The following is a 26,916-nucleotide window of genomic DNA, read 5'->3' on the forward strand; positions in this document are numbered from 1 at the left end:
GTTCTCCTCCTCTTGAGATCAGGAAATAAAGGCCTCCAAAGAGATCTTTGGCTGAAGAGCTAAGTAAATATCTGAAAATCGACATATTGCAGCTCATACACTATAGTCAGAAAAGCCTCTCAGCTGCTCACCTCATTCTCACACTGCTATGAAGAACTACCTGAGACTGGGTAATTTATAAGCAAAAGAGGTTTAATTGTCTCACAGTTCCGTATGGCTGGGAAAGTCTTAGGAAACTTAAAATCATGCCGGATGGTGAAGGTGAAGCGAGGCATGTCTTACATGGCAGCGGGAGACAGTGAGTGAAGGGGGGAAATGCCACACTTTTAAACCATCAGATCTCGTAAGAACTCACTCACTCACTATCGTAAGAACAGCATGGGGGAACTCGGTCCCCATGATCTAATTGCCTCCCACCAGGTCCCTCTCCTGACATGTAGGGATTACAATTCGACATAAGATTTGGGTGGGGACACAGAGCCAAACCATATCACCCCAGCTTACTCTTAGTTTTATATTAAATTGTATATGAGACATAAACACATGGGGAAAGGCCACCAGCCACACCAGAGTGATGTTTATTATCCTGGTGATTGATCAGTCTGCACCTGAGCTTTTTAGGTTCAGAAACCTGGCTAAGTTTATTTGCCTATCAGGCCTGAACACACCTTAACCCAGGTATGAGCTGACTAGACATAGAAAATTATGGTATGCTATGAGAAAATATGCCTGACAATAAAAGATACTCAATCCTTTTGTAGTTCATAAGCTTGATGTTTGAGTTTTCACACTTACGTGTGAAATGTGCCTCCCTTAAACCTTGTTACTACGTCAGCACATTACCCATGAGACATGGAAAAAGAGATAGACAGACACTCAAAGATGTCAAAAAACAGATACAGGAACTCAAAACACAACTCTTTATGGCTATTTTAAGCTCCAAACAGGCCTCAACAGGTCCTGCAGTCATGGAGAAATGACTGGCTTTATTAGAGTCATGAAAGATGAACAAGAGACCACCCTGATGCTGCTATTACTAGTGACTTTGCATATTTTTTAAATGGTCAAAATTAGCTTGGTATTTTTAAAAAGCAAGGATTAGGTCACCTAGAAAAGATGGCTACCCAGGAAACTCATTTCCCTGAGGGCTGTAGGTAATTAAGGTTTCATTCTTCAATATGGTTATTTCCTATTCCAAGATAACTTCCTTTGAGATTGGTTCTCTCTTCACCATCCACTCTGTTTTCCCTTAGGTGCTTAACTTCCTGAGGGAAAATCCACTCTTGCTTTCTCAATTTATTACTTCCCATTTTCTTCCTTTGTCTCTTACCAGTAGGCCCAATACTCTACTAATCTGTCCTCTTAAAGCTTGATCCAAGGGTGGCTTCTCAATACTTATTCTGCTTAACCCTTTGTGTTCAGCACAAATACTGCTGATTATTTTATCCTTAAAAATCTCTGTTCTTGAATTCTCCTTTCTTTCTGGGGCTCCCATGCCATAACCCACTCCAAGTTCTCCTGTGACTGGGCTTCCATGACACACAGCACAAGTCCTTCTCTCTGATGCTCCTTCTTAATTTCCTTTGTAGGCCCTAACTAAGACTTAGGAAGAACTCAATGATCATTAATTTCTTTTTACTTCCAAAGTGGAACATCCCCAGCTATCATCCTTAGTTAATGGTATCCTGGTCTCTTAGGCAAGAAATCATAGTGTTTTTCAATGCCACTTTCACACCCTGATATTGTTCAATTATGAAATCCACAGGGCAGTGTAGGACTTCTAAACTTTGCATTATTATTATTCAGAGACAGGGCCTCGCTCTGTCATCCAGGCTGGAGTGCAGTGGCATAATCATAGCTCACTGTAACCTTGAAGTCTTGGGGTCAAGTGATCCTCTCACCTCAGCTTCCCAAGTAGCTAGGACTAAGGCATATTCCACCATGCCCAGCTAATAAACTTTGCATTATTTTAAGTGTATTTTATTAGTAGCACATGGCTAATTAAAACAAAATCCATATAGTCACTAAGATGATAATTTTGTTTATTGCAAAAACTGGTAGACCTGTACCTATATTTTGCAGTCATATATACACACACATATGAAAACTTATTTTGTGTTTTTAATTTATTATGTGCTTCTTTCCTTCTTTCTTGTTTTCTGTCAGGTGGATAGCTTTAATATTCCCCTCCCCCAACTGGATTGGAAGTGTTATTTCTATTATCAGTTATGTTAAATTTTTAGTATATAAGTTAATCGTATTTCTGTCCTCCTGAAAATAAAAGGACCTTAGAATGCCTTCTTTCATTTTCCATGTTACTGCCTATTATTTTAATTCACCTTTTTTTGAGCCTGCCTTAATCATTATCATTTACAATCTACACTTACATAAATAAACCAACATACTAACTTCTTTGCTTTTTATGAAACTACTCCTTGCTTCTGGATTTAATTTCCTTCCATTGAATTACATTTTTAGTAATTTTTTTAACAATGGTCTGTGAGTGGTAAGCTCACCTAGTCTTTGGATTAAGAAAATCTTTATTTTTACCTTTGATTTTGGCTGATAGCTTTATTGTTATGCAATTCTAGATTGTCTGTTATTTTCCCTCAGCAGTTTGAAGACATTATTCTGCTTACTTCTGACTTCTACTCTTTTTGAGAAGTCTGTCTTTTATCATTCCTTTATAGGTAAATGGCTTTTGTCATTGATAGCTTTTCAAGTTTTTGTGTTTTTGTTGCTGATATGAAGTACCACTAAGACATAACAAAAAGGAGCTTTTTACTTATCATGGTAAGAAATTAGTTTTACTCTTTCAAACTGAAAACTTCTGAAAAATTCTCAGCCATCAACTTTTTGGATATTGCCTCTCCTCTATTTTGTAGATATTCTCCATAAACTCTTATTAGATCTTATTTTACCTTGCAGATTTCAACTTCTCTGCGATATCTTTCAATTCACTAACTCCCTTTAGCAGTTTACTATCCATTTAGTGAATTACTTTGTTTCAATGACAGTGTTTCACCGTTGTGAATTTCTCTTTGGTTCTTGTCCAAAGAACCAAATTGACCTCTTCTGACCTTATGATTCTATTTGCACAAGTTTAACTCTCTTCTAAACTTGTTCTGTTACACCCAGGTTTTCTTTGAGGGCCCGGAGGGAAGGCTCTATTGTATTTGGTTATTCTTTTTCATGGTGAGTGTGAAGAAGAATAAGTGCTTCTTCAGAAGGGGTTGTTCACATGTGCCCTGGGTTATCCAAAGAGATTTAAAATTTGCCTTTACTGAGGGGCAGTATGGATTTCTGTAGTGCTAGAACATGTTCATTTCAGCTTTTTGGCTTAGGATCCCCATACCACAGGAGTAGTATTGTTAGAGTAGGCAGTTAGGTAGACATGATCAGGGCAGGGGAGGGCCCTCCCCCAGGAATGTCTGGCGACCATCAGGTGATAGTCAGGCCATTGTTAAACCCTCTAAAATAACAATTGGTCACAGCTGGCACCAGGGAAATGCAGTCTCCCAATAGAAAACACCTGGCCAGGTGCAGTGGCTTACGCTTGTAATCCTAGCACTCTGGGAGGTCAAGGCGGGTGGATTAACTCGGGCCCAGGAGTTAGACACCAGCCTAGGCAATGTGGTGAATCCTGTCTCTACAAAAAAATACAAAAATTAGCTGGGCACATGCCTGTCGTCCCAGCTACTCGGGAGGCTGAGGTGGGAAGATCTCTAGAGCCTGGGAAGCGAGGCTGTGCCACTGCACTCCAATCTGGGTGACAGAGAGAGACTCTTTCTCAAAAAAAAAAAAAAAAAAAAAAAAGCAACACCTGAAGCAGGTGATCAGCCTCCTGATAAGGTCTCAGGAGATAGGCGAGTGGGCACACGCACTAGGAGGCAAAATGGCCGAGTTTAACTATCATATGGCCTTCCTCCAGAAACACTCAACAGATAAGGGAAAAACAAATGAGCATGCGTACTTCAGTAAGCACACTGCATATGCAGCCCCTCCCAACTGTTGGCAGGCCACTGTGCATGCAGACAGCCCACCCCAAGGGAAGAATCAGGGGAGAAGAAACGCAAATCATGCCAATGTATAAAACCCCAAGTCAAGGCCGGACAAGGCACTTGGATCTCTCAAGTTGGCCGCTTGGCCGCTTGGTCCTCTTCCAAATGTACTTTACTTCCCTTCGTTCCTCCTCTAAAACTTGCCTCGGTCTCTCACTCTGCCTTTTGTCCCTGGGCTGAATTCTTTCCTCCAAGGCAGCAAGAACTGAGTTGCTGCAGACCTGTATGGATTCGCCGCTGCTAACCATATGAGGTTTAACTTCACACTTTTCCTGTGTGGTAAACCTACCCAGCCATTTCCTCCTCCTCATAAAACCTCAGTCTTGTCAGGCAGCTGCCCTGATCCATGTACCCATGTGCTTCAGAAGCGTAAGGACAGCCCCGCCTGAGGGAGAAGTTTAGGGAAGATTCCTAGGACCTGTTCTTCCTACCCTGTTCCCAGGAGGTCGGATTCCTTCACACGGCTTCTCTCCGCCGGCTTCTCCAGTGCATGTCTATCCCTCCTTGTCCAAGAGCAGTGTGCGTGGACAACTGAGCCGTTAGATGCTGCACTCCATAGGTGACAGTACGAATGCTCTAGGACCAGCTTCCTGACATTCCCTTCATGCCACAGGAGACCAGCATTGCAGTGAAACTCAGCAACAGCATTAGGGGAAGATGAAGTCACTCGCAGGAGCTTTCCTCATAGATTCATTAACTCAACACAACCCCGGGGACTCAGCTCTTGGGAGAAGGCCTTTTGTGTCAGCTAGCTACCATATTGGGCCAGGCTGGTGGCCATTTCAGAGCTCATTTGCATCCATCTTCGGAGCCACCTTGCCATATGAAATGCATGAAATCCTTTGCTAGGCTGCTTTATGTCAAGACTGGGGCAAGAACAAACAAACAACTTTCTCTGAAGGAAAAGAACTGCTTCTCCTGCCCCCATTGTATTCTCCAATTTCTACCTTACATCAGGGATCCCTGGGTTGGTGACAGTGAAAGTGCTTAAGGTGGTATTAAAACAGGAAGGCTTTATTGGTTTTGTTATTGAGGCTGAACACAAGGGCATTTAGGTGCCATCAAAGGAGAACTGTAGAAAGTAGTAGAAGAAAATTTGAGTCAAAACATACATACTGTATAAGCATAAAATATCCAAGAGAGCAGCCAAGAAGAATATGGTACAGCTGGAGACAGCCAATGGGTAGTGGATTCTGTTACACACCAACTGGGACTGTGTGGCAGCCGGAGCCCGATGCTTCTGGAAGCTGTGTGTGGAGCAGCCCTAGTGCCGTCACTGAATGCTGGGCCAGGCTGCATTAGACAACTGCGGAGGAGTTTGAAATGCCCACTCCTAATGAAGAGTCTCCCCAGGAGACATGTTTTGAATTTTGAGAACATTTTTCTTCTCTAGCTGAAGCTTTCAATATTTATCAGCAAAGCTCTGCTGAAAGCAATGGCTGCTGGGCAGGGATCAGACTTGGCAAACTCCACAGGGCTCAGGCTCTGAGCGGGAGGGAGCAGAGAAAGGACAGCAGGGGAGGCATGGAAAACAAAAAGGAAGAGGGGCTGAAGAGCGATGGGAAGGCCAAAGCTCTTTTCATAACCACTGACTCTTAAAGTCAGGCGGAAGGAGGCCATAAATCCTCGATTGTCCTCTTGTCCTTGCAGATTCTGTTGCTGTCCTTAGTTCTTTTCCTTCCTAATGGACCAGAAAAGGGCTCTGGGTGTAAGCGTGGCTTGCCCAGGTTCCAATCCTGGCTTTCCCACCATCCAGATGGGTGGCTCTGGAAGAAGTTTTTAGCCTCTTGGAGCCCCTCTTTCCTTACTCAATAATAGTGCAGACCTCCAAGGCTCCTGTAACAGCCATGTGATCTTTCCATAAAGCATTCAGCACAGTGCCTGGCACACAATCGGAGGTCAATAAGTGTTAGTTATGTTCCTTATTAGATATTAAATGCCTTTCTCCTCCCCAGGAGTTTTGTCATAAGTCATCTACGTCTTATAGTCTGTTTTCTGAATCTTTAGCATCTGAATCAGCACAACAGTGTCAAAAATAAGTCAATTTCAGGCTGCAGGCTATCACCGTATCTTAAAGTTCTTAATAGTTCTTGTTGGGTGGGAACTTCAATTTGCCATTTGGATGGTACAGACAGGGTCTTATAAGAGGGTGAGTAGTGGCAGGAACTGGGGAATTAATGGCTTCCAAATATTTGCATATAAAAGGCAGGCTCCATCTGCTGACACCCGCAGTAATACAGTGTGAGGGGAACAGGAGGAGGAATCCCCTTTGCATTCTGAGCAGGCCTCAGAAATTTAAGAGGTAGAAAAGCTCTCCCAGCTTTGGAATGTTGGCAGGGGTCTATGGCAGTGGCGTCTTGGTGGGTGGAGGGTCAGGGGTGGCTTAGAATAGGGAATGGCCTTTGTTGTGCCCAGAACTAGGCAACTCATCCTGGGAAGAGGCACACATCTTAGATTCACTGCTGAGAGCTGGTCCACAGATGCCCCTTGTGTAGCTCTGGAACCGAGTTCTTAAGCAGGTGAAGCTGCTCATGCCAGCTTCTGTCCCCTGTCAGGTTATGGGGACTCCACTCAGGCAGAATACCCTGAGACACCAGAATAACGACAACTGTTGTCTGCAGTGCTGTCACTGGGCTCATTGGGAGTTTGTGTGCTGCCAGCAGACACAAAGCTGCAGACTGGAGGGAGTTCCCCACCCCCATGAGAGAGGGTGAGACGCCCTGCCAGGCCTCATCCACCTCTATGCACCCTGGCCCTGGTTCCCTGGTTTCTTAGGTGGTAGGTTTTTAGTTCAAATTCCAAACAGTAACATTTCAATACGAGGGGGCATAATAGACTATTTCCTTCTCAATCCTCCCTGGGAAGCCCTGTAAAACATCCTGATGTGGCCACACAGCTAAGGGGCCACACAGCTCTGCCACATAAACACCCTAAACAGGATGGGACGGTGGTTGGCTGTGTGCTGTTAGAGGCTGCCACAGCCAGGACCTCAGGCTGATTTCTGAATTCCCACAGATCTGAGTGTGCTAAACATTGCAAAAGAGAGAAAACTGCAGATTTTTATCTAGTCTTCAGACACCAGATCAAACACTCATGAATTTGTTCTTAAAACCAGTAATTGGTATGGTGAAAAGTGGAGGAAACCCTTCCTTTTTGCATTTAAGGCATAGTTTTTGAAAACCTTATGGCATGCAAGAAATTAGTTCAGCTAACTCATGGAAAGGTTTCATAAAAAGAACCTTTGTATTTTGCAAAAATAAATTTCATATTAGGGTAATGCAAACTAGCATTTAATACTTGAATTAACGCCTGTTGTCAGTGTTGGTGTTTTACTATTAACCTTTCACTGATTAATCTCTTCCTTCCAAGGCACACAGCTATCTGAGCCAAGGAGAGCATGGATGTGAAGACTGACAAGTGTGGACATCAGGAAGGCTTCTCTCATTAGAGACATACTCTGTAGGGTTTATGGTATACTGGTTCTTACAGATTTAATACTGCATAAATACTGCATAAAAAGCCCCTCAAGGGTCATGGCAGGGAGACAGAGGGTCATTAAATCCAGGTTACAAAAAAAAAAAAAAAAAAAATGAGGTGGGGCCAGGCATGATGGCTCACACCTGCAATCCCAGCACTTTGGGAGGCCAAGGCAGAGGCAGGAGGATTGCTTGAGACCAGCCTGGGTAACACGGTGAATTTTTTTTTTTTTTTTTTTTTTTTTTTTTTAAGTAAAAAAGAAGTTTCCACAGACAGTTTTGGGGAAATGAAGCTCTAGAGCAAAGCCTGCACAGTTTTGCCTGGGCACTGGGAATGTGAATCCATGTGCATTTCCAAGTTTGGTTAGCTATTCCCTGGCCCTAGTTCCTCTTGGCTTTGCCCACTCCCTTCCCCTTCAGTAATAGTAACAATTTATTCCTTTCTGACAAAATGGTAAGCGTCTTCTTCTCTGAGTGTTTACATATTTGCCTCCGTTTTGAATATTCTTCCCAGGAGACCCCCCCACTGAACCTCCAGCCTTACAGAGGGGACAGTCAGTTGCAGATATTTTGCATCAGAAAACCCTTTCCAGGTTTGAGTGCCTTCTCCAAATCATGTAGGATCTTTAGGGCTTAAAAGAGAACCTTACTGGAATTATAAGGAACCAGAGGACTGTGCAGCCCAACCTCCATTACCTGCAGCAACCCCACTCCAGGATGTTAGCGCAATGCATTTCCTAGGAACAGTTCATTTCGTGACCCCACAAGAGTAAAAGAACTGCCAGCTTCCCTACAATTCAGGGCAAACTGTGATAGAAAAGAAAGAAAGAAAGAGGGGCCATCTCCTCCTTGGCATCAGGGCCAACTTCAGACTCCTTGTGGAGCCCAAGATTGTCAAAAAAAGAACCAAGAAGTTCATCCAGCACCAGTCTGACCAATATGTCAAAATTAAGCGTAACTGGCAGAAACCCAGAGGTACTGACAACAGGGCTCATAGAAGGTTCAAAGGCTAGATCTTGATGCCCAACATTGGTTATGGGAGCAACAGAAAAACAGCACATGCTGCCCAGTGGCTTCCGGAAGTTCCTGATCCACAGCGTCAAGGAGCCGGAAGTGCTGCTGCCATGCAACAAATCTTACTGTGCTGAGATCATTCACAATGTTTCCTCCAAGAACTGCAAAGCCGTTGTGGAAAGAGCTGCCCAGCTGGCCATCAGAGTCACCAACCCCAATGCCAGGCTGTGCAGCGAAGAAAATGGGTAGACAGCTCATGTGCACATTGTGTTCTAAAAAACCGTAAAAACTGCAAAAAAAAAAAAAAAAAAAAAAGAGAAAAACTTACTGCACTCATATTCTGGCTCATCCATAAAGCCGCCTTTTAATTTTCTGGTTCCTTTGTTGAGACAGTTCAAAAGAGCAAAAGGACTTAAGATACACCAGGGTCAGAAAGATCATACAGCTCATTTTTACTCCCATCTCTGCCTGAGAGGATGGTGTGAGGGTCAGAACACATCTTTATGCTAATCACCTCTTCCCTCACAGCACATTCTGGAGGGGGAGATGCTATTTTAAATTCCTTGCTGGGAAGGATGTCAACAGAGGAAGACAATGCTGGCAATTTGTTTAGAATGGCTGTCACTAGGAGGTAAAAGAAAAACAAAAAGAAAAGGAACCTACAGGCAACATAAACAAAAGCCCAACAATCAAACGACAAAAGCCCCTAGTCTTGCCTGTCTCAGGCCTCATTCCCTGCCTCTTTTTGTCCTGCTTCCTTTCTAGACAAAACTGGGAGATCCTGGTAAGACTCAAAGTAAAACAGGCCCACTCAAAACCTCAGATGCAGAAGCACCTTACCCTTCTCACCGGCTTTGTTCCATTCCCCTTCCCTCAGGCTTCCCACCCTGGGGAGAACTTTTCCCTTCTCATTTTGTGTCCAACAATAGGCTGACCTCCTTTGGTCAGTTCCCTCAGGCTTGAACCCAGCAACTCTCCACTGAAAATTAAACAGGCAAACGTGTAGTCCCAGGCTACATATGGAGAAATAGGAACTCTCTGGCCAAGGAAGGGCTAATAGAGCCTCTGGAATTATAGTGGGCCTTTCCTCATCACAGAAATTATGACTTGGCAACTTCTACTCATATTTCCATTTGGCATGACAAGATTAGAACAGCTCCCAGCTGGGAGGGCACTGGCTCTTGGGACTGAGCTCTCTTTGTCCATGAGCCTCCCAAGGAGACATCCTAAACTGGTGTGTGAGTGTGGTGCCCTCCTACCAAATTACACACAGGTATGTACAAAGATGGCAAACACATGAAAGAGAACACTGTTTCACATATTCCTAAATTATGAGTTTGACAACAGAAATAGAAAAAACAACCCTAAAATTTGTATGAAACTACAAAAGACCCAGAACAGCCATAGCAAACCTGAACAGAAAGAACAAAGCTGGAGACATCACACTTCCTGACTTTAAAATATACTACAAAGCTATATTAACCCAAATAGCATGGTACTGGCATAAAAACAGACACATAGACCAATGGGACAGAATAGAGAACCTGGAAGTAAATCCATGCATTTACAGCCAACTCATGTTCAACAAAGGTGCCAAGAACATACATTGGGGAAAGGACAGTCTCTTCAATAAATGGTGCTGGGAAAATTGGATATCCACATGCAGAAAAAGGAAACCAGAGCCCTGTCTCTCACCATATACAAAAATCAAATAATAAAAACAAATTAAAGACTTAAATATAAGACCTGAAACTACGAAACTACTAGAAGAAAACACTGGAGAAATGCTTTAGGACATTGGTCTGAGCAAAGGTTTCTTGGCTAAGACCTAAATTGTCAGTCTGAAACAAATTAAGTTTCTCTGATGTCCCAATATTGTGTAATTACTTAAAGGAACACACAGGGGTAGGAAAACAATCCTCATCTTGTTTCTCACCATCAGATTTTGCAGAATGCTTCCTGGTTGTGAATCATAATGAACAAATTACATAAATTCCATATCGTTACCACAGACTTCCTTTAACACAAATAATTTTCACGTTCATGATCTCATGAGATCATGGGCCCCTGCTGACCCCTCACACCTCATCTGTTGACATTCTGCTCCCCACCTCCAAGACCAGTCAGCCACACTGACTGTTGGGTCCCAGAATGTGCCATGTTTTTTCTCCCCAACTCCCCTGACCCTTGCCTCGCTCCTGTTTATTCTTCAGGTTTAAGTGTAGACATCCTTTGCTTTAGGTTAATGCTGCTGTAATCCCTCCAGACTGTAAACTCAAAGAGGGCAGAGCTGAGGTGTGTGTTCTTCACGAGTATCTAGCAGGCCTTGGCTCACAAAATAATAGGTCCTTAGTGGTATTTCCCAAATGAACAAATCAGAATGGGAGTTATTTGTTAAGAAGAAAACCTTGACTCTTCAGTTCCTTTTCTTTTTTATTTTTTGAGACAGGGTCTCGCTCTGTTGCCCAGGCTGGAGTGCAGTGGCACCATCTCGGCTCACTGCAACCTCGACTTGCCAGCTTCAAGAGATTCTCGTGCCTCAGCCTCCCGAATAGCTGGGATTACAGGTGCCACCATGCCCAGCTAATTTTTGTATTTTTAGTATAGACGGGGTTTCGCCATATTGGCCAGGCTGGTCTTGAACTCTTGGCCTCAAGGGATCCGCCTGCCTTGGCTTCCCAAAATGCTGGGATTACAGGTGTGGGCCACTGCACCTAGGCCAGTTCTGTCTGTTAAAACACTTTTTTTTTCCTTATTTTTAGAGAGGAAGTCTTGCTGTGTTGTCCAGGCTGGTCTTGAACTCAAGCTTAAGCCATCTTCCTGCTTCAGCCTATGGAGTCGCTCAGATTATAGGCACATGCCACTGCACCTGTCTTTACAACCATAATTGTCTAATCTGCAGACTGATAGTCTATTTCTTGCTGATAAACTGTGTTCCCCTTGCAATTTTCCCTTTCATTCATTCATCCATCTGATATAGGATTCTTTCTATTGCTTTGGTTTGCCATCTTCCCCGAAAGGCATACAGAAAACATTTTTTCTTTCCCATCCTGTTTGTTCCAAAGAGATCCTTGTGAACCCTGCCTCCGTAGGCAGCAGTTCTCGTGGACCCCAGGAGCCTGCTCTGACCTGGCATGTGCACGCTGCCCACAGGTTACCACTCCTTGGCATACAGATTTATCACTCTGGAGGAAGGCTGGTAAGCAAGACCAAGCCAGCTTAGACACAGAAAAAAAGTGCTGAGTGCCTTTTAATGCATAACTGGCAGGTGGCTTTGCAAAGCTTTATAAAAATAATCATAGTAGAGAAAAATCAACATGAGAATGTTGCTAACAAGTGGGATACATAACATGAAACTTGAAAGGCGAAAAACACATTCAAATTCAAATAAAAGAATATTTAATTATAGTGCCATCAATTCCTCCACACCTGAGCTGAATTATATCAGACAATTCGAGGAGGAGACAGATGGTCTACCTTCACGTTTCCTGAATTTCTGTTGTGAAATATGTGAGACATAACAACACACACATCTATTAGTGCTTATTATCTATTAGGCACTTCACCTAATAATATATATGCATGAGGTTAATACTGTTGGAATCTCCATTTTACATATGAACAATCAGAGAAGAGTTAAGAAATTTTCCCAAGATCCTAAATCTAGAAGGGGAAGAGCCAAAATTCAACTCGGGAAGTAATTATAGATTACAGGCTCTTAACCACGAGACTACCCTGCCTCTCATATACCATTTATAGTTTAAAAATAACACAAACAACAATGTACCTGCCATCTACTTGAAGGAACAGAATATTATCAGTAAATATCTTAGAAACCCAACAGGCCTCAAGCATATATTCCCCTTGGTATCTGCCTCTTCTCCTCTCAAAGTAACCATTATCTTGAATTTTGGGCCAATTTTCTTGGTTTTTGTTATAGTTTTAATGTCTATATCCCTAAACAATATATTGGTAGTTTTCACTTCATGTACATAGAATTCTAATGTATGTATTCCTCTATGGCTTATTAAACTCAACATTATGTTTTTGAGATTCTTCCCTGTTAATGAGCACAGCTTTGGCTCATTTTGGGGGTGGGGGAGGTGCTATAAAGTATCCCAATATTTGTTTACCCGTCCCACCACTGGACACGCAAGTTACTTCCAGTTTCTGTAATAAAAACAATTCTGTGAATATCTTCTTGCATGAACGACGATGCAAGAGTTCTTCTAGGAGAGTCGGTTCTTGAATTTTAGCAGCATCAGAATCACCTGCATGGTTTGTTAAAACACAAATGGTTGGTCCTACCATTGGAGTTTTTATTTCAGGTGGGGCCTGAAAATCTGCAATTCTCTTTTAAAAAAAAAAATTTATAAAATATATATGTAAAGGTAGAGACAGGGTCTCACTATGTTGCCCAGGCTGGTCTTGAACTCCCAGGTTCAGGTGATCCTCCTGCTTCAGCCTCCCAAAGGGTTAGGATTATAGGCATGACCCACCATGCCAGCCAAAATTTGCATTTCTAACAAGTTCCCAGGTGCTGCTGATGCCATGTAGCTCAAAGGACCGTGCTTTTCAGAACCACCACTCCAGGGTACAGACCTAAGAGTAGAACTGCTGGGCTCCATAAAAACACCATTGGTATTATGGTTATAATTGTACTGATTCTATGGATCAATTTAGGTAGGCAGCTTCACTTTGGCTCCTTAGAGCCTTTAAGTTGTAAGAATTCTTGCCGGGCGCAGTGGCTCATGCCTGTAATCCCAGCACTTTGGGAGGCCGAGGTGGGCGCATCACCTGAGGTTGGGAGCTCGAGACCAGCCTGACCAACATGGAGAAACCCCATCTCTACTAAAAATACAAAATTAGCTGGGCGTGGTGGCACATGCCTGTAATCCCAGCTACTAGGGAGGCTGAGGCAGGAGAATTGCTTGAACCTGGCAGGCGGAGGTTGCGGTGAGCTGAGATTTGCGCCATTGCACTCCAGCCTGGGCAACAAGAGCGAAACTCCATCTCAAAAAAAAAAAAAAAAATTATTCTGTGTACATTTATGCGAAGAATATAGACCGAACTAGCCAAGTAACACAAGTCAGCCCTTAGGGCCTCACTCAGAAATATCTTTCTCTGTGGTTAAGGGTATCTTTCTTTTCTTCTCTGTTTCCAGAAATCAGGATCTTGTGGCCAGAGGTTCCCTGTGACACAGGGGGACATTTGGATAAAGTTAGCTCATGGCATAGAGGGATAATAGTCATTTCTGGCAGGTCAGAGGTGAATGGAGTCTTCATCTATGCTTAGTTTATTAAATTAGAAAAAAAGGCTAAAATTTCAGCCTTTACAGTTTTGATATGTATTATTATTCAGGCCCAGGTACTTTCTAATTTTCATTATAATTTTTTCCTTTGATTCATAAGTTGTTTAGAAGTTTGGTTTCTATTCCATGTGAGTTTCCTCTCCTTTACTAGTTTAGAAGTTACCCTTTCTATTATTTTAACAGTTTTCTTAGCTATTTCAACTTGTTTACTTAAAGCCTAAAGTTAAACACCATTAACTTCTCAAAAGAAGCATAGCATGTGAGCTAACACCCCTCCCTTGACAATTTGTACGCTATTTTTATGCAATATTTTAGTTCTATCATTTTTAACCCACACATTAGACATTCTTATTACTGTTTTATATAGTCAAGGTATATTTAAATATGACCACATGTTTACTAATACCTTAGCTTAATAATCCATTTTACTTCTCAGATATTTCCTGTGGGATCATTTCCTTTTCTTACCTGAGCACACCCTGTAGAAATTTCTTCAGAAGAGGTTAGTTGGCGGTAATATGTATCAGTTTATGTTTTGCCTGAAAATTTGTTTACTTCATCCTTGTTATTGATAGTTTTGCTACATCTAAAATTCCTAGATTGACAGTTATTTTTTTCTTAGCCAGCTGAAGATATAATCCCACCATTGGCACCGTTTACTTTTGAAAGTTGGCTGTCAGTCTGAATGTCTTCTTTTTTTTTTTTTTTCCTGGCTGCTTTTAATATATTTTTGGAAGGCAAAGGGGTTAAAGTTCTTCAGTTTCTTTCTCTTTTTTTTGGGACAGAGTCTCACTCTTTCACCCAGGCTGGAGTGCAGTGGCGTGATCTCAACTCACTGCAACTTCCGCCTCCCAGGTTCAAACAATTCTCATGCCTCAGCCTCTTGAGTAGCTGGAATTACACACATGCATCACCATGCCTGGCTAATTTTTGTATTTTTAGTAGAGATGGGAGTTTCGCCATGTTGGCTAGGCTGGTCTTGAACTCCTGACCTCAGGTGATCTGCCCGCCTCCACCTCCCAAAGTGCTGGGATTACAGGGATGAGCCACAGCACTCGGCTTTTCTTCGGTTTCACTATTTTATTTCTCCTTCCAGAGATTTGTCAGGCTTTCTGAATCTTAGGTTTAGTATTGACAAAAAATTCTGGAACTTCTTCCCATCTTCTATAGTTTATCCTTTTGGAATTCTTTTAGAGCACCTTAGGCCATCTTTTTAGTCTCTTAATCTCATTTCACATTGTCTTTTCTCTTTGTCTAAGCCATCTACTGGATTATTTATTAGATCAATTTTCTAGTTCACCAGTGTTCTCTTCAACTAGCTCTAATCTGTTTAATTCAGTGAATTTTTAATTCCTATTTTTAAATTTATCATCTCTAGAATTCCATTTTCTTAAAAATTGTTTAGTCATTTTTTTAGTCTCTTTTAAGACTCCTATTTTAAATGCTTTAAATTTTTTTGTTTGTTTTGAGACGGAGTCTTGCTCTGCTGCCCAGGCTGGAGTGCAGTGGTGTGATCGATCTTGGCTCACTGCAACCACTGCCTCCTGGGCTCAAGCAATCCCACCTCAGCCCCCTGAGTAGTTGGAACCACAGGCATGCACCACCATGCTCAGCTAATTTTTGTAAAGATGGGGTTTCACCATGTTTCCCAGGCTTGTCTTAAACTCCTGTGGCTCAAGTGATCCTCCTGCGTTATCTCCCAAAGTGTTGGGATTACAGGTGTGAGCCACCATGCTTGGCTAAAAAAAAATTTCTGAAGCATGTTAAAATATTTTATATTATTGTTGGCTTTCTTTTGTTTGTGTTTTGAGACCGAGTCTTCCTCTGTCACCCAGGCTGGAGTGCAGTGGCGCGATCTTGGCTCACTGCAACCTCTGTCTCCGGGGTTCAAGCGATTCTCATGCCTTAGCCTCTCAAGCAGCTGAGACTACAGGTATGCATCACTATGCCCAGCTAAAAATATTTATATTTTTGACTGCTAAATCCAATAAAGAAGTATTTACAGGTCCAATTCTGATGCCTCTGTTATTCCTGCTGGCTTTTACTCATGGTGACTTGTGTTCTAGATAAAGCTGCCTTTCTCGAGAGGTAGTTTCTGTTTATTTCTGAGAGTCTTCTAAGGATATTTAGGTTATTTACACTGCTGCTAGACTGTAAGAAATACTTAACTTGGATCTTTCTCTTCTTACCAAGTATTTCTCAAAAGAAACAATTCTCCAATGGATGACTATCAGTGCTGGGGTGCATTTGCCATCACTCTCATCAACAGGATCAGAAATGGGATTATTTCTACTTTAGAGGATAGCTTAGAGGAAGTAAAAATGTGAGAAAGGTATGCCGCTGAAATGCCTAAACAAACACTCAAATTCTTTACCACTTGTATCTACGTTCAACTTAAGGGGGATTTTTATTTGGCAGAGAAAGTACCTCTTTTTTTTTGTTTTGTGACAGAGGGTCGCTCTGTCACCCAGGCTAGAGTGCAGTGGTGCAGTCTCAGCTCACTGCAACCTCTACCTCCCAGGTTCAAGCAATTCTCCTGCCTCTGCCTCCCGAGTAACTGGGATTACAGGTGCCCACCACCATGCCCAGCTAATTTTTGTATTTTTAGTAGAGACAGGGTTTCACCATGTTGGCCAGGCTGGTCTAGAACTCCTGACCTCATGATTCACCCGCCTTGGCCCCCCAAAGTGCTGGGATTATAGGCATGAGACGCCACACCTGGCTGGAAAGTACCTCTTACAAGAAAGGTAATCCCTTCTGCAGTTTGGTTACTGTACCGTCCATATCAGCCTCTAAGTCATGAATTATGAAAATTGCATGATTATTAATTTCAGGCATGTCATGGAAGAATGCTTGAGGAACAACCCTACAATTGTAGAAATGCACAAACCTGTGAGGATCATCTGGATCACAGTTAGGAAGAAACTGAGTGATTGCTTCTGCTACTTCTTCATTTGATAAAACGTCCCAGAGTCCATCAGTGGCCAAGATCAGCACATCATCTGATCCATGATCATATTTTGAAAGATCGTAGATTCTTACCTGAAAAAAAACAAGAATACTACCACTTAAGAAATTGGAAGCATATTATTCTCCCTAACAAACTGACTTCTGATTCCCCTTCCCTTTTCCTGCCCAGCCTAGTGGTTTTCAGATATGCATTGTAGGGTACTTGATTATACAGCGAGCTGTGTGGCCAGGGATAGTCTCCCTTGGAGACTTGCTATATAGACACATGGGGCCTAATACACATTTGTGAATGAGCCTAAGCGGTGGGCTTAGTAATTGACATAGAAGAAATTAATTGAAAATGTAATGTCTGAGGTATAGTCAGAATGATGATTTATAAGTGGATTTTATGCTAGCCAGAAGATCAGCAGTGAGCTTGTTTGCTGTCTTCCTTTGCGTATTCATTCAGCAAACATTTATTAAGGGCCTACCCTGTGCCAAGTGCTATAAATGCAAAGTTAAATATCTGATTTTTCTGCTTCAGAGGAGGTCTCAGTCTGTGGGGGAGATAAAACCAATTCAGGATTCTTAGTAGCTGCTCTACATGTATTTGTCTAGGAGTAACGAGACATTCTATTTAATGCACTCACTTGAAACCTTTCTTGCATTACCTGCTCTGAGGCCCAAGCAGCCAACTCCTCTCACATAAGGATGGGGGCTCTGACACTACCTTCATGTTTCAGGAGCCTCAACTGAGGCTCACAGAAGATACACGCTCACTCTGAACCTCCAAAGTATGTCTTTGTCTTGACAGACTTAAGTCTTTCCTCATGTCTAGTACCTTAAATGACTTGGATATTTCAACACCCACCTAAGCTCTGGAAAGAGAATGAGGCAGCCTAGGCAAAACTAGTAAGAATAAAAATCAAGCCTCTCTTGGGCTAGGCCACAATTCTATGTCCATCCTACTTCAATGTGGGAGGGGAGGGATAGGGAGGTGTGGAGAGGGATTTGGGGTTTCACTGCTCTTCCCTCCTAATTTGGCAGAATCAATCCCTGCCTATTATACCATCTCATGAACTGAGAAGAAAAGCAAGTCAATTTAATCAATCCCCTTCAGCCTCCCTTATTACTCTATTTTCTGTCTTTCTAATTGAGACGGAGTCTCTCACTGTGTTGCCCAGGCTGGAGTACAGTGGCGTGATCTCAGCTCACTGCAACCTTCGCCTCCAGGGTTCAAGCGATTCTCCCGCTTCAGCCTCCCAAGTAGCTGGGATTACAGGTGCATGCCACTACACCCAGCTAATTTTTGTATCTTTAGTAGAGATGGGGTTTTACCAGCTGGGTCCCAGCTGGTCTGGAACCCCTGGCTTCAAGGGATCCGCCTGCTTCAGCCTCCCAAAGTGCTGGGGTTACAGGCATGAGCCACCATGCCCAGCCCATTCCTGTTATTTTCTAAATGCAAGTCTGAGTGAAAGCGATGGGTCAGGGCACATGTCCTATGGCACAGCCATTGTTATGTCACCTCAGATCTAGAGACAATCATATCACCTCAGCCTAGAGACTAAATCTGTTTAGGTCTTTGAAAGCCAAGCCTCCTATGTTTTAGAAAGGTTTGTCCAGGCTAGTGATGCCCTGGCATGGGGCTGGTCCTGTGGGCTGACAGTCTATTCCCAGCAGCAGAACACAACAAAATGTTTACCCACAGGGCCCTGGGTGAATGAGCTCAAATGAAAAGCAGCCACCAGGCGCCAGGCCTTTGTGGCCTGTGAACAAGAAGGTAACAATTAGCTAATGGCCCAGCACATGAGCTGCGCTCAAGGGAGGAACACTCAGGAGTACACTGCACTGGTGTTTAACATCTTCTTTCCAAAAGGCATGCTCACTTAAGGCTAAACTTATGTTCCGGAGAGGGCACTCAGCCTTTTAAGCCAAATTAAAGAAAACATGAAAGCCTCAGTTTCCGGCAGACCAGAAAGTCCCAAATGTCAGAATTCTGTCCTCAGGTCACTGACGAATGTGGTCCAATTTTCACTGTATCAGAAACAAGCAACCCTCCTATGCTTTATTTTCCATGGTTCTTCGGTGTGTTAGAGCAGAGCTTCTCAAATATTAATGTGCACAGAAGTCAGCTAGGGATCCTGCTAAAATCCAGATTACAATTCAGTTCCGGGTGGGCTTGAGAGCTGTGGTTCAACTTCCTCCCAGGTGATGCCAATGCTGCAGGTTCACAGACCGGGCCCCGAGTAGCAAGGCCAGAGAGGATTCCTACTGGGCCAGATTTGTACACAAGGGAATCAACGTCTCAGTGGACTTTATGATGACTGTGGAGACTGTTCCTTAGAGTGGGCTGTTGACAGACTGTAAATGTCACCCCTGGGCTCCTAGCTTCAAGTACTGGTTCACTGTGTTGTTACTTTCAGTATACAATAACTTTGAGAGACACTGCTAATAGGAGGCCAAGGCAGGGGGATCACTTGAGGCCAGGAGTTCGTGACCAGCCTGGGCAACATAGTGAGATCCTATCTCTACAAAAATTAAAGAAAACAATGAGACCCTGGGCATGGCAGTGCATGCCTGTCATCCCAGCTACTTGGGAGGCTGAGGCAGGAGAATTGCTTGAACCCAGGATTTTGAGGCTGTGGTGAGCCATGACTGTGCCATTACACTCCAGCCTGGGTGACAGTGAGACCCAGTCTTTAAAAAAAAAATAGTGTTTAGAGGATTGATTCCTTTTTTTTTTTTTTTTTTTTTTTTTGAGACGGAGTTTTGCTCTTGTTGCCCAGGCTGGAGTGCAATGGCATGATCTCAGCTCACTGCAACCTCTGCCTCCCAGGTTGAAGCGATTCTCCTGCTTCAGCCTCCCTAGTAGCTGGGATTACAGGCATGTGCCACCACGCCCGGCTAATTTTGTATTTTTAGTAGAGACAGGGATTCTCCATGCTGGTCAGGCTGGTCTCGAACTCCCGACCTCAGGTGATCCACCCACCTCGGCCTCCCAAAGTACTGGGATTACAGGCATGAGCCACCGCGCCTGGCCGATTCCTAGCTTCTTATTGGGTTATACCTACAATAAATTTTTGGGATAATTTGAACTCTTTATGATAGACAATATTGAGTCATAAGAGGTGGTGAGATGTGGATGTCTCAATCTTATGCTTGCAGTTAAACAGGAGATTCCATTTGCCTTGCAGCTTCTTCTAAAAGAGAGGGTTCAGGTCTGCAGATAACATCCATTTAATTTCAGAGTCTGCCCTATGAGTAGGGTGCCAAACCCTCTTTAAAGTGCTTCCTGCTGACCCAAGAAATGTGACAGGTTGTGTTATTCAAGCTGAAGTTGTCTTGTCCACACTCAAATGGAAATCTGGCCAACAGAATGGGTGTGGGTTGATACATACACACGTTATAAAATGCTACTCTTCAATTCCATCAATAAATGTAATCTTTCCCTAATTCTACCGTTCCCATTTCTATGCTCGGCTCCCTAATGTAGTTTAATTAGCCAACATGAAAATCCTTCTCAAGACCGTTCTTCATGTAATTTGTATGAAAATAATAAAAAGCTGGTCACAACCCTGGTCTGTGAAGCACTCCCCAATTAACATCTTTTGAGGTTTTTACAACCACCCTCTGTTTCCTGCCCTTTAGCCAATTTCCAAAAATCTTTGCTAACTTTCCACTTACAACTCGTGTCCTATACATTAACCTGTGATGCAGAACATTTTGCAAAAATGTTTTCAGAAGAATTGGACTGCCGCGCAAGTCATCCCACTGTGTGCTTATCCTCCCCAGCAGCAAAGGCTTCAAAGGATTCCACTGGGCTCCGGAGTCCTGACCTTCCCTCCCTGAAGCTGTTGTTGGCCTTACTCAATCGAACCATACCCACATCCTCAAAGTTCCCCTGTTCAATTCCTTAAATAGCTTCTTAATGTTCCTGGAAGCCTCACATCAAACTAATGGGCTCTGAAGCTCCCCAGGACTCAGACATCTGGAAGAGTCTTTGCAGCCCTGGAGGGGACAGGTGTGCTACAGAAACGGCTTTGAAGTGGGACTGGGGGACATGGTCAGACCTTCTAATGGCTCCTTCCCGGGTTCCCATCCACCAAGAAAGGGAGAAAAAAGCCAGACGAATCCTTGAGATTCTTGCAGTTTTTCAGAACAATATAATCTGAGCAGCTAAAAAATGGGACCTGTGTGGACCTGCCTTTCTGCTGCCTTCAGTACGCTTTTATTGCATACTTGCTGTGTGCCAACTCGTTTTCCAGGCACTGGGGACACAGTGACTAAAACTGACAAAGCCTCTCACAACTTCTAAACTAGTAGATGAGATAGACACCCAAATAAATTACAATGTCAGAAGATGAAAGATGCTCTGAAGAAAAATCCAGCATGGTAAGGAGAACAATAGAGTCATTTTAGAAGATGAGGTCATGGTGGACCTCTCTGGGAAGGTACCATCTGAGCGAGTCAATTTCCCATGGGTCCCTTCTTGCACCTCCCCAACCTTCTTTTGGATTCCTGTTACTCAGTGTTAGACTGGTGGTGAAGAAGGGAGGGCTGAGAAAGGTGGGTGTCACTCTCTCCTGCCAAAGCAACCCTAAGGAGGACCAAAGAGAAGCCATCTTTCTTTTCCCTGGTCCTCTGCAGGCACAATCCTTTCACACCCACTAATATAAGATTTACCTATATGCTTTACTGTGGGTAAATCTTTGTCTGTCAGTTTTGTGTGAAACTGTAATCATCGATTTATGGCCCTGTCCTGACACTAGACTGTAAACACCATGAGGGTTGGCATTGTTTTTTTCTGCTTTGTATCTTCAATGCCCAACTTAACACCTGGTTCACTGAATGAATAATCGTCGAAACTGATTGTTCCACAGAGATGAAGCTTTGTGCCTTGTCCTTTAGGTACAGAGAGTGATACACAGCATCTGATCTACCCTGGAAGACTCTCAAGGCTGATCCTGTCTCAGCAGAATCTGAACCTGGAATATGGCAGAATACTATTGCTTTTGCGAGAGCAACCAGGTGAAGAACAAAAAGTGAATGTGTTCCATCCCCTCATGAGGCTTCTGAAGCTTTCCTTATGATCTGATCACAACAAAGGAGACAGGCAACTGACAAACAGCACACTGGCCCTGAAACACCGCTGGCATCTTTGTTATCAGCCTTTCAGGGCCCACTTTTCTGTCTCTTCTAAAAGACTAGATATTCTCAAACCTAAATGTGTTTAGAATCACTTGGAGTGCTACCTTAACCAAGTTAAGATTCAAAGATCCTACCTGTAAGAGTCTTGATTGTACAGATCTGAGCTGCATACTTCAACAGGACCCCAGGGAATTCTGATGCAAGTGGTGGGGGGAATCTCACCTTGAAAAACTGTAACAGACGATCAACTCCTTTAGGGATAAGGTCCATCTTATCCTATCTGTTTTTGTACCCAGAACAGAGCACTGTGCCTAGCACTCAATTCACAACCGAAGAAAGCATTTCCTTATTGGGTATTTTACCCCTGTCCAGCTTACAATGAACACCCAGGGGGTTGGTCATCTTATTGTCCCACCAAAATTCAACTTCTGAAGGCCCAGAAATCCCAATTTGTATTTCCTCTGTGGGTCTAGCAGCATCTTCTATAGTGTAAACCACAGTAGGTCTTCAGGACATACTTGCTGAGGCAAAGCATAAACAGGGGAAGGAGAGTGGAAGAAACAAATTAAACATACAAGATACTTTCAGAAGACCCCCTCATTTCACGGTGATCCAACAGATTTAGTTTGTTAACTGAGACACTTCCAAATCGTCAAACAAATGTAATGTGCTGATATATAACAGAAGTGGCAAACTCTTTCCTTTTCTTCCTTTGTTTTCAGTGGAGCTGCCAATAAACATTCAGTGTGGGGGAGCAGGAATAAGTCTGGGGGCAAACAAGAACCTTGACTAATGTGCTCTGAATGAGCCAAGTGCTGACTGCTCTCACAGAGCCCTCAGCTTCAGAGCACTTAGAGATGTCCTTAATGTCAACATTGGGCACTTATTTTACACAGGAGCCTGTGACAAGCAACTCTTTAATACAGCACCTCCACTTAGTGCTCGGCTGCAGGCTGCTGTTTCAGCGTTTGTGTAATACTTGCTCCCATCTTTGCCTTATTACTGATGATATTTTGGTGGCATGTTAGGAGGGCTCATACACCTATAAGCTGACTCTGGCTTCTTAAAGCTACTTTTAAAAAGAATCCATCAATTCTTCCATTTGCCAAATCTCTGCCGCTTCTCTAGGATGCCCTCACAGCTTTTGTGTCTTGATCAGTTCAGCAGATTCTCCAAACTGGTTTTTCCCTTTTAAGTACTCAATGTAGGACAATGAGCTCCTGCAGCTCAGGACTGGCTTTGTGGAAGAGAAAGAGGCTTGCCCTTGTTATCAGAAGCCTTGCTTCAGGTCTCTGCTTCTAACAAGCTTTGTGACTTGAGAAGAGCCACTCTTTTTTTTTTTTTTTTTTTTTTTTTTTTGAGACAGGGTCTTGCTGTGTCGCGCAGGCTGGAGTGCTGTGGCACAATTCTGGCTCACTGCAGCCTCAACCTGCCACACTCAAGCAACCCTCCCATCTCAGCCTTTCAAGTAGCTGGGACTACAGGTGCACACCACCTATACTTTTTTACTTTTTGTAGAGACGAGTTTCATCATGTTTCTCAGGCTGATCTCAAACTCCTGAGCTCAAGAGATCTGCCCACCTTGGCCGTCCAAAGTGCTGGAATTACACGTACACACCACTGCACCTGGCCTAGCGCTCAATTTTCCTATCTCTGAAATCATTTTTCAAAAACTGAAAAACACAAGAAAAAGGAAATATAACAACTGCTCTACTTCTCTCACAAAGCTGTAATTAAGATCAAATAATGTGGAAGGGAACTGCCAATTTTAATTCTTTTATGGCACTGATCTCAGGGCAACCACATCTGAATATCGTCTAGTTGGTAGAAGGAAAGGATTAAGAGTGGGCTCAGGGAAACTGGGATTCAATTCCCAAAGTCTCATTTAAAACAGCAGTGACTGGAGCTCTCAATAGTGTTTCCTGGCAGAAATAGCCAAGGTGGTTCCCAAGGTAAAGGCTGCCAGTAGTTGGTGGGAAATAAAGAGATGAAATCTTGTCCCCTCTATTTCATGTGTCCAACCCAACAGCTCAACCTATGGATCTTTGAATATGACACTTATGACAAGAAGAAAATAAAACACCAACACACTTCCTGCAGCCCTATAAACCAAGTAGATCATTTCAAGATTGGCATTCCAGCAGGCCACCAAGACTATACCCAAATTCTCTGTAGTAGTCTATCTACTTTACTTGATGTCATGAAACAAACACTGAATTTGGAGGCAGAAGACTTGGGTTTGAAACCCACCTCTGCATTAGGCAAAATCACTTTATTCATTCAGTTTCAAAGCTTACAGACCATCTGCTGGGAACACCAAAGGTAAATGGGATACTGATTCCTTGGATGGACGAGCTGGACATCGTATGCCTTACACGAAGAGGAAGCTGCAGGGGCTAAAGCCTGGGGATGTGAGAAAGGGCTGGTGTGTTTGGGCAGCTTTACCTTGCTTGGTTTGGCTGTGGTACTGGATGTCCCCTGGGGAGTGGGGAGGGTGAGGCTGGACTTCTCCAATCTCCCCTGTCTCTGTTTGTGAAATGAGAGGTTAGGCCTAGGTGGCCAATGGGGCTGCTCATGGCTCCAACATCCTCTGACTCTCCTCACAGCATCAGGCCTTGATGTAACTGATCACAGGACTTCAGAACATTGGGCTGCAAGTGAATCCAGTGACACTGAAGTGTTAGAAATATGTTGGCTGCTCATACTATTGCAAAAGGAGCTGTTTTGGCTGCAGGTATAAATTTATACTTGAAATATGCCACAGATACTCTTGAGAGTTTGTTTTTTGGAGTCTACAGACCAAACATTTGACTTTGGAGGGTAGATACGATATAACAGATCAAAAAGTTTCTTTCTAAACCAGCTAAAATATGAGGTATTGTGCAGAGAGCCTGAAGGTATAACCAATGCCTAGCTGCTATTGCATAAACATTCCATTTTTTAACACACAAGGCCTGGCACGTTACAATTCTCTGGGTTTCCAATGGTTTGTTCACCACTAGATCCAAAGGACCATTGAATGAATTAGTGAATGAATGGGCTTCAACATAGCTCAATAATTATTTGAAGAATAAGTCTATCTTCACAAAAATGCCCATTTGCAAAGATAAGCATCAGAAGAAATCCCAGCCTGTGAATGCAAACATGAGGGTGCAGAACAGATGAACCAAGTTGCCTCAAGTCCACCCAGAAGGCAGGTGAGGCAGAGAGTGACCATACATCCCTGTTTACTCCAATAGTTTTGATTTGCGCCTGTTTTTCCAGCATAATTATTAATAGTGTCCCCTTTGATTCTTGAAAATTCCTGGTTGAGGGGTTAAGATGGTCACCTGACAAATAATAAAATGACTGCTACTTCTGGCCATTGGGACTGAAAAAATCAGTGTCACTACTTCACAGGACTCTTCACCACAGCAGGTTTTCAGAGATCTCAAGAGCAAGTGAGCAAGCTATTATGCATGCTGCCTTAGAAGGGGAGATACAATCACCATGGGTAAACTGTGGGATATTTGCTGTGTGACAAAGTCAATCCCGCTGATTGCAGTTGTTCTGGTAGCAAGAAGCCCAGAACATAGCTGTTCAAGTGCAGAATGAGGTATATCATATCCTTAACCCACCAGCCTGGCATGAGCCACATGCATTGTGGGTCTGGGGTTTTTACAGGCTTCAGAAGGGAGGAAGTGCATGCTGATTGGTTCATGGGTGGCCATGAGTGGGCCAGAAAAGCACCATAAGCTCTCACTCCAGGCCGTGGACTCCACCTGGAACTGACAGCCTGGCTTCCATGCTTCAAGTCATCCCTGGCTTGAAGGTGCTGCTTCACACAACCTGAGACTACAATATGGACGCATCACAAACCCATTTTAGGATTGTAAAGCAAGTTCCTGCAGCACAGTGAAGAACAGCTTATTGATGGCAGTAGCAGCCTGTCTGGACCAGCTGCTGCAAAGATGCTGGCTGTAGCAGGGGTGGCACAGCCAGTGTTGTGTGCTCCATGGAGCTGGTGGGAGCTGGGAACAGGTGGGAGCTCCCAAGTTGGTGGGACAGGAGCCCTGTCCTCCTGGGTGCAGGTGCAGCCACCCAACCATGGCTGCAGACCCAGGCATCCCTATGCTCTTGGGTGTCTTGGAAGTCCCCCTGCCCCTGCAGGCTTGGAAGTGTCTGTTCCTGCTGCCTGGCCTCTCTCAGCTCCCAGTGCCTACTCCAGTGTGGAGCAAAGTTGTCGCTGAGCCTGGTCACTGTCGTGACCCGGCTGGGTGTGTGGGGGCTTGGGGCAGCACTGACATGCCAGCTCCCTGCCATCTCAGCCACCTCTGGACTTTGGTCGCCACCGAGCATGGGAGGGAGGCCGAGGGGAAGGGCTGAGGGTGGCTCAAGGTGGGCCTGCAGGCACCTCTTGATGTAGACAGCCAGGGTGTCGTGGATGACATGTCGATGGCAGCAGGAAGCACACAGGTTCCTGGGGGGAAAGGGGCAGGTCCGCGGTAAAGCAGCATCTTCAAGCCAAGGATGACTTGAAGCATGGGAGCCAGGCTGTCAGTTCCAGGTGGAGTCCACAGCCTGGAGTGAGAGCTTATGGTGCTTTTCTGGCCCACTCATGGCCACCCCTGAACCAATCAGCTTGCACTTCCTCCCTTCTGAAGCCTGTAAAAACCCCAGACTCAGCCAGACTCACAGAGACAATGGGACAACCTGCCTGCAGATAGGAGCTACCCATTTTGGGTCTCATCTCCACTGAGGGCTGCACTCATCAGGATGACCTGCCTGTGGAAAGAAGCTACCCACTTCAGGTCTCCTGAGCACTGTACTATCACTCAGTAAAGCACCTCTTCACCTTGCTCACCCTCCAGTTGCCCATGTACCTCATTCTTCCTGGATGTGGGACAAGAACTCAGGACCCACTGAATGGCGGGACTGAAAGAATTGTAACACAAACAGTGCTGAAACACGCCTCCCT

General features: G+C 43.9%; 1 protein-coding gene, 1 non-coding gene and 1 pseudogene across 4 annotated transcripts in view, besides 6 other annotated features; 2 read left to right on the top strand and 1 right to left on the bottom strand.

Annotated features, from left to right (window-relative positions):
* The window catches only part of PPM1H (protein phosphatase, Mg2+/Mn2+ dependent 1H), a 291,157-nt gene that overhangs the window by 6,432 nt on the left and 257,809 nt on the right, over nucleotides 1-26,916 (bottom strand). For 2 of the 3 annotated variants that reach the window (NM_020700.2, XM_011538578.3), the window contains exon 9: nucleotides 16,753-16,904. In NM_020700.2, the coding sequence (NP_065751.1) occupies nucleotides 16,753-16,904 (152 nt within the window). Of the gene's footprint in view, nucleotides 1-16,752; nucleotides 16,905-24,212; nucleotides 24,611-26,916 lie in introns of those variants that run through there. The other variant, XM_017019676.3, reaches the window with a different exon arrangement.
* Nucleotides 750-853, top strand: LOC124903103 (small nucleolar RNA U13). The gene has a single exon (XR_007063640.1). It is a non-coding gene; the product is annotated as a small nucleolar RNA U13 (small nucleolar RNA).
* Nucleotides 2,944-3,565: an enhancer, noted in NCBI's record as "OCT4-NANOG-H3K27ac hESC enhancer chr12:63047149-63047770 (GRCh37/hg19 assembly coordinates)". NCBI's record gives its function as "activates a minimal SCP1, AML or CMV promoter by ChIP-STARR-seq in naive and primed H9 embryonic stem cells {active_cell/tissue: H9 hESC(naive and primed)}" and the evidence as "EXISTENCE:reporter gene assay evidence [ECO:0000049][PMID:30033119]".
* Nucleotides 3,566-4,187: an enhancer, noted in NCBI's record as "OCT4-NANOG-H3K27ac hESC enhancer chr12:63047771-63048392 (GRCh37/hg19 assembly coordinates)". NCBI's record gives its function as "activates a minimal SCP1, AML or CMV promoter by ChIP-STARR-seq in primed H9 embryonic stem cells {active_cell/tissue: H9 hESC(primed)}" and the evidence as "EXISTENCE:reporter gene assay evidence [ECO:0000049][PMID:30033119]".
* Nucleotides 5,430-6,050: an enhancer, noted in NCBI's record as "OCT4-NANOG-H3K27ac-H3K4me1 hESC enhancer chr12:63049635-63050255 (GRCh37/hg19 assembly coordinates)". NCBI's record gives its function as "activates a minimal SCP1, AML or CMV promoter by ChIP-STARR-seq in primed H9 embryonic stem cells {active_cell/tissue: H9 hESC(primed)}" and the evidence as "EXISTENCE:reporter gene assay evidence [ECO:0000049][PMID:30033119]".
* On the top strand, nucleotides 8,372-8,846 carry RPL32P26 (ribosomal protein L32 pseudogene 26; annotated as a pseudogene).
* Nucleotides 8,497-9,022: an enhancer, noted in NCBI's record as "OCT4-NANOG-H3K27ac-H3K4me1 hESC enhancer chr12:63052702-63053227 (GRCh37/hg19 assembly coordinates)". NCBI's record gives its function as "activates a minimal SCP1, AML or CMV promoter by ChIP-STARR-seq in primed H9 embryonic stem cells {active_cell/tissue: H9 hESC(primed)}" and the evidence as "EXISTENCE:reporter gene assay evidence [ECO:0000049][PMID:30033119]".
* Nucleotides 8,524-8,818: an enhancer, noted in NCBI's record as "tiled region #14116; HepG2 Activating non-DNase unmatched - State 15:Elon, and K562 Activating non-DNase unmatched - State 24:Quies". NCBI's record gives its function as "activates a minimal TATA promoter and a strong SV40 promoter by Sharpr-MPRA in HepG2 and K562 cells {active_cell/tissue: HepG2 | K562}" and the evidence as "EXISTENCE:reporter gene assay evidence [ECO:0000049][PMID:27701403]".
* Nucleotides 9,023-9,549: an enhancer, noted in NCBI's record as "OCT4-NANOG-H3K27ac-H3K4me1 hESC enhancer chr12:63053228-63053754 (GRCh37/hg19 assembly coordinates)". NCBI's record gives its function as "activates a minimal SCP1, AML or CMV promoter by ChIP-STARR-seq in naive and primed H9 embryonic stem cells {active_cell/tissue: H9 hESC(naive and primed)}" and the evidence as "EXISTENCE:reporter gene assay evidence [ECO:0000049][PMID:30033119]".

The sequence above is a fragment of the Homo sapiens genome, chromosome 12, assembly GCF_000001405.40.
Source record: "Homo sapiens chromosome 12, GRCh38.p14 Primary Assembly".
NCBI classification, from domain to species: domain Eukaryota; kingdom Metazoa; phylum Chordata; class Mammalia; order Primates; family Hominidae; genus Homo; species Homo sapiens.